A 12,779-nucleotide genomic window follows, 5' to 3' on the forward strand; every position below is an offset into this window, starting at 1 on the left:
TGGGGATTATTACAATTCAAGGTGAGATTTGGGTGGGGACACAGAGCCAAACCACATCACTCCACTCCGGCCCCTCCCAAATCTCATGTTCTCACATTTCAAAACACAATCATGCCCTTCCAACATTCCGCCAAAGTCTTAACTCATTCCAGCATTAAGTCCAAGTCCAAAGTCTCATCTGAGATAAGGCAAGTCCCTTCCACCTGTGAGCCTGTAAAATCGAAAGCAAGTTAGTTACTTCCTAGATACAATAGAGATACAGGCATTGGGTTAATACACCCATTCCAAAAGGGAGAAATTGGCCCGAAGAAAGGAGCTCAATTCCCATGCAAGTCCAGAATCCAGTAGGGCAGTCATTAAACCTTAAAGTTCCAAAATGATTTCCTTTGACTTCACGTCTCACATCTAGGTCACACTGATACAACAGGTGGGCTCCCACAGCCTTGGTCAGCTCCACCCTTGTGGCTTTACAGGGTACAGCCCAACTCCCAGTACCAATTTACTGTGTTAGTCCATTCTCACACTGCTGTAAAGAAATACCTGAGACTGGGTAATTTATGAAGAAAAGAGGTTTAATTGACGCACAGTTCCACATGACTGGGGAGGCCTCAGGAAACTTTCAGTCATGGTGGAAGGCACCTGTCTACAGGGTGGCAAGAGAGATAATGAGTGCCCAGCGAAGGGGGAAGCCCTTGTAAAACCATCAGATCTCATGAGAACTCTCCCACTAGCACAAGAACAGCATGGGGTAAACCACTCCCGTGATTCAATTATCTCCACCTGGTCCTGCCCTTGACACATGGGGATTATTACAATTCAAGGTGAGATTTAGGTGGGGACACAGAGCCAAACTATATCACTAGTGAAAGGAGCCAAGTCTAAGATACTTTCACATGTATCCTTTCATTTAATTTTATTTAATTCTAAAAATAGAATTTTATTTAATCCCTGTAATATAGGGATAGGCAGCTCCACTTTACTAATGAAGTAAAGGAAACACAGAGAGGTTAACTAGCTTGTACACTTGGTAGAACTTGAATTCAAATTCAAGTCATTTGACCATTAAACCAACTAGCCTGAAGTTAGATACAAAAACCAAGAGTTAGCTGCCTGCAAAGGTGGAATATCCACCACCCATGAATTGTGAAGAGAGTTGTACTGGGAAGGAGAACTGTATGCCTGAAAATCTTTGTTTCATAAGTTGTGTCTTATTTTGTTTCCTAAGGTGGGAGGGTAAATATGGTAAATAAAATCTTGGCCAAAAGCAGAAGTTGCAAATAATGCAAAGTAATGAAGATAGAGCCTCCTGTTTTGTCACAGATGGTATTTTTGTGTGTTTGGTTTTTGCTTGTAGTAAACCAAGATAAGAAAATAAATTTTTATGAATATAGAAAATATAGAAAAATAGGTCAAATTAATGAATCTTTATTTGTAAGCATTATTTATTTGTTGAATCTCAGGATGTTGAGATCTGTACAATATTTTGAATGAGCTAGAAGAGGAAGAGTGTCCAGATCCTATCTTTGATTATTTTCAAGTCTCATTAATGAACACAGCAGTTTCTGAACAACTGGAGAAACAAACTGCCCTCACAATACTTATCTGGAATCTTGGATTCCCCGTCTGCCCAGCAATTTAACTATAATCCTTTACCCTTCTGCTGTCTCTCTAAATCCAAGTTTTTCAAACCAGCTGCAGAAATAAGTCCTTTAAAAATGTATTTCCCCTTAAGCACTCATCCTGCAAATTTGAATGAAACTAAATGAGGAAAGTATTTAGTTTACAAATGCATTTGTACATAGCATTTCAAATATGCTTTGGAGATTTTCAAACAAACTATGGCGGGATCAGAGTCTAGCCAGATTGAAAATGGGGGCTGTGAGACTCTAAGATAAAAAAAAAAAACAAAAAACCACCAGCTATCTCAGAAATGGTAGATGAGGATTACAGCTTCTTTTCTCTCTTGCATTTTCTAGAAGAAATGCTGCAGTGTGATGCCCCTATTATCAAAGAAATCGCTTCCATGCGTCATGTCACCACAAGCACACTGTTAACGCTCCAGGGACATGTTATGAAATCTATAGAAGAAAAGTGGTGAGTATACTCAATTAAGGAAAGGATTCTTCCTGGAGTTGCTCCTTGGCTTCTGAAAGCCATATGCATCAAGGGTTTCCTAATCCATTTTCATAGCTCATTGCCAGAGCCTCTCTACAAAATAAAAATTCAAACTTATCTTGAACTTTCCTACCTATCTATCTGACACACACACATACACACACACACACACACACACACACATTTCTGTTTGTTTGCATTAACAAGAAACAATACAGTGTTGATCAGGAAGGTTAGGTTGACATTAACAAAGGTCTGATAGAGTAAGAAGAGAATTTTTTAGTATTTTACTATTCCCCAATTACCACTGAGAGTTCCTCCAGAAGCTGAGGTAGGTTTGCCTGGACTGTCATCTTTTATGTGCCAGGTTTTTGCCCTGTTTGATATTACTGATGTCCTTCTGACAGGTTTAAAGATTATCAAGACCTGTTCCCACCTCACCATCAGGAGGTGGAAGTGCAAAGTGAAGTACAAATTTCGTCTAGGAAGCCCTCAAAGATAGTGTCAACTTACCTACAGGAATCCCAGGTTAGTGAAGAAGAAAGTGAAACAAGACATTAGAGACAAGAAAACCATCGTCTTGGGGGTAGGTTTTTAAATCCCCATTTTGCAAAGGAAGAATCTGAGACTCAGATAAATTACTATACTAGGAATTTAAGCAAGTCCCTCTCTTCTCTACCTGTGATTAGAGTCAACTGAGTAATAGGTACAGGGGTTGGACACATGGAGTTCTTCTAGTTGAAAGTTAGTGTAGAGGACATGGATTGGCAATGAAGCAAAGTGGTTTTGCTGGTCCTCTGCACCCAAATTAAACTTACAAACCCAGTCACTGGTCTAACGGAACAACTTAGACCTCCACTTACCAGGGTGAGCCTCTTACTGTATAACAAAAGGTGAGCTTGTAGCAAGTGTCTTGCAGACAAACAAACCAGAGAGAGAATGCAAAGTGCTGAGAACACCATTTCCTTCTTTCAAACTATCTAGCTCATTCTTTCTCCTATGGGAGAACAGAAAAAAGGAAGAAAGAGGGGACAGGAATGTTACTCAGGAAAGTCTCTATGGTTTGAGAAAAACAACAACAAAAAAATACATGCCCCCTTAGAGATTCACTTGTTTTAGAGTTGGTCAGTATCAGAAAAATTTTAGCCCAGCTTGATCTGACTCCAGAGATCATTCTAAGATATCTCGGAAAATAATACCTAAGTCCATTGATCCAATACTCAGGGATGAAAATGTGTTACTCTTCCTTTTCTCCTCTGTATTTCCTCCATATATGAATAAACTCCATGTCAGGGCACCACGAATGGTCATATAGACTACTAAAAAGATTACTGTACCCAGAACCAGTGCACTTGATTTAATTTCAGAGCTTCCAGTTGTTCCTAGAAAACAAGATAAAAGGAAATCAACATGTACTTAATGCCTACTGTTTGCCAAGCATTGCATTGGGGTTTACATATAAGTCTCACTGCAACCCTGAAGGCTATTGTTTCTATCTTACACATGGAGACATTGAGACATAGGTTAAGTAACTTGACCCAAATTACACAATTAGGTTCTGAGAAGCTAAGCTCCAGACTCAAAGTTTTTTATCCTAAATTCAGTGCTTTTTGTACTTCACTGCTTTCTGTCTAAAGCGAGGCTTATGTTGTTTCCCTCTCTGTAGACTGAGACAACTGAACTAGTTAATCAACAAGAGTCTTTCTGGCTCTAAGTATCAATTTCTTGAAGGACAAATAAAATGTACAGTGGTTCCTGGGTACCTATAAAAAACAGATGAGGAAACTTATGAAATTCGTGTGTGTATGTGTGTGTGTGTGTAGGTGTATGAGTGGGTGCAAATAATTATATTTTCTTTTTTAAGTGCTTAGAAATGGTTTTGCTCATTTCCTTATTCCTTCAATGTTTCCAAATTTGCCTGAGCCTTTAGTTCTTTATTTCTGTCCTCTTTTCTTCCAGTTTTTAGCTCTCATGCTCCCTCTCCCAATCACGGCATCTCACATCTTCACTGTTGAAAGGCTTTGGTAGAAGGAGCATGGGCAAATGGCTCCAGTCTGTTGAAGCTGGAATCTTTCACTGACCAGCTACTTAATTTCGGGCAGATTGTACAAGCTCTCTAACCTGAGTTTCCTCACCTTTAAATTGGAGCTAAAAATTATTCCTTTACGGAGGTGTTGTGAGGATTAAATGTAGTGAATACCAAGTTTTGGCACACAGTAGACTCTCGGTGAACAGCAACCATACTAATGAACATGTTATACTCCTCTTTCTTTCCCCAGAAGAAAGGCTGGATGAGAATGATCAGCTTTATCAGGAGTTTTTGCAAGTACCGCAGATTTATGTTGAATCCTAGTAAGCGCCAGGAATTTGAAGACTATCTTCACCAGGAAATGCAAAATAGCAAGGAAAGTAAGTCATTTCTGTATTTACCCCCACTCCCTGTTGATATTTTAGCCATGAGGGTCAGCCCACATAAGAAGCTTATTGCTTTGTGTCATGCCTGCGGCAGCCTGGAGTCTAGCAAAAAAACCCAGGTCCTGTGTGCAAAGCCAGGCCCAGGCCTTCCTAGAGAGGATGCAAGACCAGAGGCCTCTGCTTAAGGAGCCAGCAAGGGTAGGGAATAAGTAACCTAAGGTACTGCAAAATCTCACATTTTACAAAATAATTTCCTTATGTTTTTGAATTTGCTCTTTAAAAATTATTTTCAAAATTTTTCTGCTTATAAATTAATACATGCTGTTAATAAAGAGGTAATAAAAATTGCAGAAATATATAGTATAGAAGTGAAAGTCCCTCAAGAGATAACATTGTTAATGCTTGTAAACCTACCTCCTAATTATTTTTCTGTATATGTATCTTAATATTTACTTTTCCCACAAAATTGATGCCACATATTTGATTTGTAACTTGCTTCTTTTTTTTTTTTTTTTTGTTCAACAATGTATCTTGGACATCATTTTATGTCAGTACACATATATCTGCCTTGTTTTTGACTGCCATAAAATGTCCATTATATGGATTAATTCAACAGCTTCACTCATTCATTCATTCATTTAACACACGTTTTGAGAATCTACTATGAGGCAAGCAGTTTGCCAGGTGATGGAGATACAGTAGTGAACAGTAGTGAGCCTGCAGCAGAGGATCTGCCCTGTGGCACCTACAGATTTCAAACAGAAAATACAAGCCACAGATGTTGGAGCCGGAGTGCCTAGATTTGAATCTGTCACTTCCTAGTTGAAGGACCTTGGGAAAATTACTTTGTATCTCCATTTTCTCATCTATAGAATGGGAATGAGAATTGTTTCTATTTCACAGGGTTATTAGAACTATGCTTGGCAATAGCACATGCTATAAGAGGGTTAGCTAGTGTTACTGCTATTATTATATAATTGTGATGAGTGATCCCGGCGATAATTGCAGGGAGATCCTATTAGTCAAGGCAGGAGGGCCAGAGAAAATGTCTCCTAGAAAATGACATAAAGTTGAGTTTTCAGAAATGACCAAGTTAGGTAGGTGGGATGGGAGGAGAGTGATTTCTAGGTATGCACAGAATCATAAAATAAGAAAGAGGACTGTGCAATTCAAAAACTGCCATCAGGCCAGTTGGACTAGAGATTAATGAGATGGGGCAAATGCTTGAGATGAGACTGGAAGGATAGGCGGTGACAAATCATGACTCTCTTGATGACATTTGGGTTGTTCCAACTTTCACTTAAACAATGCTGCAAAAGATACATATTTTGCAATTGTGTGTTTCTATGAAACAAGTTCCTTAAAATGGGAATGATGGGTAAATGGTTAAAAACAGTTAAATTTTGGCCCTCCAAAAACATTCATTGCAGTAATTTAAACTCTTGCCAACCATATAAACTAGTGTCTGGTTCCTCGCATTCTCATCAACAGTGTGTTGTACATTTTAAAAACTGCCAACCTGGTAAATGAAAAATAATGTGCCAGATAGTCTATTCTTATTTATACTTCTTTAGGAGTTGAGCATCTTTATTTATTGGCCATTTGTATTCTTTCTTGAATGTTTATGCCCTTTGTCTATTTTTCTATTGGTATTTTAATATCATTTATTTTAATTTGAAAAAAGTTTGTATTATCTTTTATGAACTGTTTCACAATAAAATATTTTGGCTTCAATAATAGTTCTAGCAGGCTGGGCACGGTGGCTTACGCCTGTAATCTCAGTAGTTTGGTAGGCCGAGGCCGGTGGATCACTTGAGGTCGGGAATTCGAGACCAGCCTAACCAACATGGTGAAACTTCATCTCTACTAAAATACAAAAATTAGCTGAGTGTGGTGGTGTGCACCTGTAATCCCAGCTACTCGGGAGGCTGAGGCCAGAGAATCACTTGAACCCAGGAGGCAGAGGTTGCAGTGATCCGAGATTGCACCACTGCACTCCAGTCTGGGTGACAGAGCGAGACTCCATCTCAAAAAAAAAAAAAAGTTCTAGATCTTTTGTTTCTTCTTTTAAATAAAACCAGCTCAAGCCCTCATGCCCCAGAATGGTAGGAAGTCCTGTTTCATCATTCTTTGACTTTCCACTTCCCCAACATTATGTGAGAACCCAAGAACTATACTTATCCAATTTAATAGGAGGTCTACCTGACTTCCAATTCCCCTTAGATGCAGGGAAGAGCTTGTGACACTCAGCCTGCCACTGGTCTAAGTTCTTTTATTTGAAATATAGCATACTTATAAGTGACTATATGAGCAGCTGAATACCCATCATCCAAGCCAAGAAATAGAAAATGGCATAACTCAGATGACACCTGGTGCCCCTCTTCAATAGAACTCCCCCTTTACCCATCACAGATGCAACCCCTATCTTGAACACAAGCATTTATTTTACTATTGCCTTTTAAAATGTACATGTGTTTTCATACTCTTTCTATAGTTTCCTGCCTCAAACAAACTTTGATTCCCATTGGAACTTCCACTCCATTAATCTTACTGATTTTCTTAAGCCAGAGTGTGTGTGTGTTTGGTATCTGAGAAAACAGAAGCAATCAAAAGAGGAGTTTTACAGCTTCCCTCCTCTGAATCACTTGGTCAGCCTCCTCTGTATTCACAGGCTCTGGTCACTGAGTAGGCTGCCTGTCCTTTTCTCCTAGGGAAGCATCCAGACCCTCATCTACTCAAGGGCATTCATCCATTTTTGCTTATTCTCCTGCATCATTTTTATTTTCTCTACTGGATTACTCAATCGGCACCAAATATGGCATAGTGCCTCTCAACCAAAAATTAATAATAATTTCTCCCTGATTCTACATTCCCCTCAAATTATCTGGCACATTTGTCTGTTTCCCTTTTGAACAAAAATCCTCAAGAGTTATGCATTCTTGCTGCTTTGTTTTCTTTTCTTCCCGTTTATTTTTAAATTACTTTTTAGAATCAGTTTTTAAGCTACAATTTTATACAGTAAAATTCACTAATTTTAATTGTGCAATTTGATGAATGTAAGTATCTCTGCCATCATGATATAGAATACTTGCTTCATCACAAGAAATTCCTTTATGTGTCTTTTTAATCAACACCCTCCCCGCTCCACTACTACTCTCTGGTCTGGCAACAACTGACCTGCTTTCTATTACTACAGTTTTATCTTTTAAAGAATTTCATATAAATGGAATCAAGCAGTAGTCTTAATGCATGCATGCAATAGTCTTTTGTGACCAGCTTCTTTTACATAGCATGATGCTTTTGAGATTCGTCTATGCTATTGCATATATCAGTAACTCATTCCTTTTTATTGCTGGGTAGTATTCCATTATACCATAGCACAATTTGTTTATTCATTCACCAATTGTTACATATTGGGTTGATTTCACTTTGGGGCTGTTATGAATTACCCTGCTATGAATATTCAAGCAGAAGTATTTGCATGGACATATGTTATTTCTTTTGGGTAAATATCTGAAAGTAGAAATGCTGGGTTATGTGGTAAGTATATGTTAAACTTTATAAGGAATTGCCAAGCTGTTTTCCAAAGTGATTGTACCATTTTTGCATTTTCACCACTGATGTATGAAAGTTTCAACCGTTCCCCATCCTCACCAACCTTTGGTATTATCTGTCTTTTTAATTTTAGCCATTCTAGAGGGTATGTAATAGTATCTTGTTTTAGTTTAATTTTTATTTTGTCTGATGACTAATGATGTTGAGTATGTGTTCATGTGCTTGCTTGACATATTAGTCCATTTTCACACTGCTAATAAAGACATACCCAAGACAGGGAAGAAAAGGAGGTTTTAACGGACTCACAGTTCCATGTGGCTGGGGAGGCCTCACAATCATGGCAGAAGGCTAGGAGGAGCAAGCCACATCTTACGTGGATGGCGGCAGGCAGAGAGGAGCTTGTGTAGGGAAACTCCCCTTTTTAAAACCATCAGATCTCGTGAGACTTATTCACTATCATGAGAACAGCACGGGAAAGACCTGCCCCCATGATTCAATTATCTCCCACCAGGTTCCTCCCACAACACATGGGAATTCAAGATGAGATTTGGGTGAAGACACAGCCAAACCATATAATTTGCCATACATACAGTGCGTTTTTTAGTGAAGTGTCTGTCCGTATCTCTTGCCCATTTTTAAAAAACTTTGTTGTCTTGGCCTTTATTGGGTTATAAGAATTCTTTATATAATCTGGATATATTTTTGATGGACATATTTTGAAAATATATCTCTCAGTTGATGGCTTGCTTTTTGATTTTTTAAGTAGTGTCTTTTGAAGATCCAAAATCTGAAATCCTCCAAATTCCAAAACTTTCTGAGTACTGATATGACACCACAAATAGAAAATTTCACACCTAACCTCACGTAACAGGTTGCAGTCAAAATGCAGGGAGGGGCACAATACAAAATTTATTCAGTGTCCCCAAGGAAAAAAATAAAATTACCTTAAGTCTATATGTATAAGGAGTATACAAACATAAATAAATTTCGTGTTTAGATTTGGGGCCCATCCCCAAAATGTCTCATTGTGTATATGCACATATTCCAAAAATCCAAAATCTGAAACACTTCTGGTCCCAAGTATTTCAGATAAAGTATATTCAACCCATAGTATAAGAACCTTAAAATAGGTTTCCAGACGTTGTAAATTTTATCTTTTTAGGTGTTGGATATTTTTGTCTTCCTATAAAATATGCCTGAACTTTGTTCTGGGATACAGTTAAGTTACTCGAAAACAGTTTTATTCTTTTGGATCTTCTTTTTATGATTGGTTAAGTGAATCCAGAGCCATGTTATTTGTATGGCTATTCTCCACTACTGAGGTAAAACCTTCCTTGGTATTCTACTAGATTCCTCATAAATTATGAGTTTTTCTAGTCTCTCGGTGGAAACAGGCACTATTTCTGCTTCTGTGTGAGCACCAAGGACCGTTCTTTAATGCTTTCAGATCCCCTACCCTCAAGCTTTGGGTACTTCCTTCATATCTTGAGCTGGTCAGCACTCTGCTGAGTACTTGAGGGAACCTCTGCAGATTTCCAGGTTCTCCCTCTCCTCTTTGAACTCTGTCTTGTAAACTCTAGCCACATTGGTCTCACTGGACTCTCAGGTCCATCTCCTTAATTCAGAGAGTCCACTGAACTTGACCTGGGTTTTCCCTCCCTGACTGTGGAATGGATCCTACCTCAAGGTGGTAAAGTGGGGCAAGAGTAGGGCTCACTCATTTTTCCCAAGTCTCAGTGATCACTGTCCTTAATTCTCTGACAGTCAGTGTCTTAAAAACTGTTTCAATATATTTTGTCTGATTTTTAAAAATCGTTTCGGAAGGGAGGATAAATCCAGTTCTTGGTACTCTATCTTGGACAAAAGTGGACGTTCCGATAAAAAAGTTTCAGCAGGCTGGGGCTGGTGGCTCAAGCCTGTAATCCCAGTACTTTGGAGGCCAAGGTGGGTGTATCACCAGAGGTCAGGTGTTCGAGACCAGCCTGACCAATATGGTGACACTCCGTCTCTACTAACAGTACAAAAATTAGCCAGGTGTGGTGGCACACGCCTGTAATCCCAGCTACTCAGGAGGCTGAGAAAGGAGAATTGCTTGAACCCAGGAAGCGGAGCTTGCAATGAGCTGAGATCGTGCCACTGCACTCCAGCCTGGACAACAGAGTGAGACTCCCTCTCAAAAAAAAAAAAAATTCAGCAGATTAGTAACTGTAGCCAAGTTAGAATGATCATCCTGACTGTAATGTAGGGAATATACTACACAAAAGCAAAATTAAGTGTAGGAAGCACAGTCAGGGCTGGAACTAGGGTAAGGCAAGGGAGGCATATAACACACAAAAATTAAGGAGGCACTGACTGTCAGGCTCATGCAGATGCCAACCCCGTACTTGTAACATGTTGATAGTGAATGCTTCCTTAAACTGTGTCCTAGGCACCTCCCTCACCTTAGCAGGTCAGGGACCTAGTCCTGACCCCGAGAACACTTAAGCGGCTTTTGGAACAAATGAAAGATGATGATGCTTTAAACAAATGTCACTGCAAGAAAGACCAATAGTAGATACATTTGAAATATATTTAGAAAGTAGAATCAACAGCATTTGGTGACTAATTGGATGTGGAAAGAGGAAGAAGTCAAATATGATTCCCAGGTAATAGTGAGCTGGAGCTGCTCATACTGATTGGTAAGAGCCAGCTGTTAAATATCCTGAAATTTTGTGAGCTACTCAACAAATGTCAGTAGCCAAAAATCTATTACAGTGAGAATATTTACTATCTAAATCAGTGAATAATACAAATTAGGTCTCCCCCTCTACCACCAGAGCCAGTTTACAAGCATCCCATGGCTTCCAGGTTTATTTGGTGAATTTATCACCCTCTTTTCCCAGAATCCCTAACCATCATATCAATTTCCACTGTTATCTAGACTTTTTTTCCCTTCAAACTCAAGTCTAAGAGAGAAAGATTGAAAGATAGTAGGAAAGGGATCTTACGTCTTATTCAGTATGGTAACCCTAGGGTCAAGCACAGTGTCTGAGACATGACAAGTGCTAGGTATTTATGGACTCTTGTAGTTACCCTCCCATTCTATATACAACACTAAACCAAAAGGAAACCCACCTACACCATAGGGAGCACCACACCCACTTCAATAAATCCTGAACAGCACTCCAGAATAAAGGATTTGCAGGCAGAATGGTAAATTCTAGAGCCAGATTAGACATTTTTCTGAAACCAGCCAGATAACTAACTAGGGTCCATTTGTCAGATCCAGCCCATACCTGTTCTTTTCTCAGACCTGAATCCCTACGAATAGATGTCTTTGCATATAATCTAGTCAAGAAACTTTCTAAAGGAAGCATTCTATTTTTCTGACACACAATCCAAATCTTCTAGTGGCTCTTGTGCTCTCCTTTACTCGTTAGTCTCTTCTGTACTCTAGCTTTCTACCCTCAGTTTCCTTAGTAAACTTCTTTACTCTTGATATTTTGACTTTTTCTTTGTGCTGCTTTCCTCATTTGCTCCTAAATTACTTCCTGATAAAACTTGAGTAAGCATCATCAGTGTTACACACTCCATTTGGAAGGTCACATCTCGTGTTTCATTTTCAGTCTCTGCAGAAACCTTAGGGATTAGCGTAACTGTGGTGTGCTTCTATTTCTATTAGATAAGCACCTTCGGTGCTCAGTTGACTTGTGTTTTATGTGTGTTGTCATACTATCTGAGTAGATGACTTTTTCAAGTCCAAGTAAAAGGTTGAGCCCAATGGCAGTAAGTGACTATTTCAGTAGGCCAAAAGGATGGATCCACAGTCTCCTTTCTTCTTTTTGTTATGCCCAGGTTGAGGGTAAGAGTGACTTGATCAAACAAAATTGTAATTCCTTCTTCTTTCTCTCTCAGATTTCACCACAGCACACAACACATCGGGACGTTCAGCTCCACCCTCCACAAATGTCCGGAGTGCAGACCAAGAGAATGGAGAAATAACCCTTGTAAAGCGTCGTATATTTGGCCACAGGATTATCACTGTCAACTTTGCGATCAATGATCTATATTTCTTTTCTGAAATGGAGAAGTAAGTTTTCCACTTCTCCTTCTTCTGCCCTGAAAATGACTTTTCATCCTTAGGACTGCCCAGCAGAAACTGGCTTGATCTGTTAGAGATACAGTGATTTCAGACCTGTCCAGTAAGAGTCTCTCCTTCTGAAAATCTTACTGAATGCTGCCACTCAATTGATTTCCACCTTTCTTTTCTTTGGGTGCTAAAAGCTCTTCAGTATTCCAGAAATTCCACTGTTAAAATGCAGTTACTTAGTCCCAGAAAAGGGAGCATGTTTTTCTCCATTATTTACAAATTTGAAAAAGTCCTATTATATAACACCATGAGACCAATATTCTTTAGTCAAAGCCAGGAATTATAATAATACAAATTGTGTGTGTGTCTGTATGACATTAAACAGATATTTTTAAGTTAAGACATATTAGTGTATATTAATTCACCTGTCAATTTTGTTTCACCTGTCAAATTTTTTATGTAAAGCCAAAGTCAATCCACAATGGGAGGTCTGTAAATTTTTCTTGTATAGACTATACCCCAAAAGCTGTCTATTAATTTTTTAATTGATACATAATAGATTTACATATTTTGGAGATGTATGTGATATTTTCATATACTCATATAATGTGTAAAGATCAATCAG

The 12,779-nt window shown here is 38.8% G+C and overlaps 1 protein-coding gene across 15 annotated transcripts in view; it reads left to right on the forward strand.

Moving 5' to 3' along the window:
* RGSL1 (regulator of G protein signaling like 1) overlaps window positions 1-12,779 on the forward strand; it is a 112,721-nt gene that overhangs the window by 80,391 nt on the left and 19,551 nt on the right. For 14 of the 15 annotated variants that reach the window (XM_017001193.3, XM_017001191.1, XM_017001192.3 and 11 more), the window contains 4 exons: window positions 1,977-2,094; window positions 2,523-2,643; window positions 4,395-4,524; window positions 11,980-12,154. In XM_017001193.3, the coding sequence (XP_016856682.1) occupies window positions 1,977-2,094; window positions 2,523-2,643; window positions 4,395-4,524; window positions 11,980-12,154 (544 nt within the window). Of the gene's footprint in view, window positions 1-1,976; window positions 2,095-2,522; window positions 2,644-4,394; window positions 4,525-11,979; window positions 12,155-12,779 lie in introns of those variants that run through there. The other variant, XM_011509500.2, reaches the window with a different exon arrangement.

The sequence above is a fragment of the Homo sapiens genome, chromosome 1, assembly GCF_000001405.40.
Source record: "Homo sapiens chromosome 1, GRCh38.p14 Primary Assembly".
NCBI classification, from domain to species: Eukaryota; Metazoa; Chordata; class Mammalia; order Primates; family Hominidae; genus Homo; species Homo sapiens.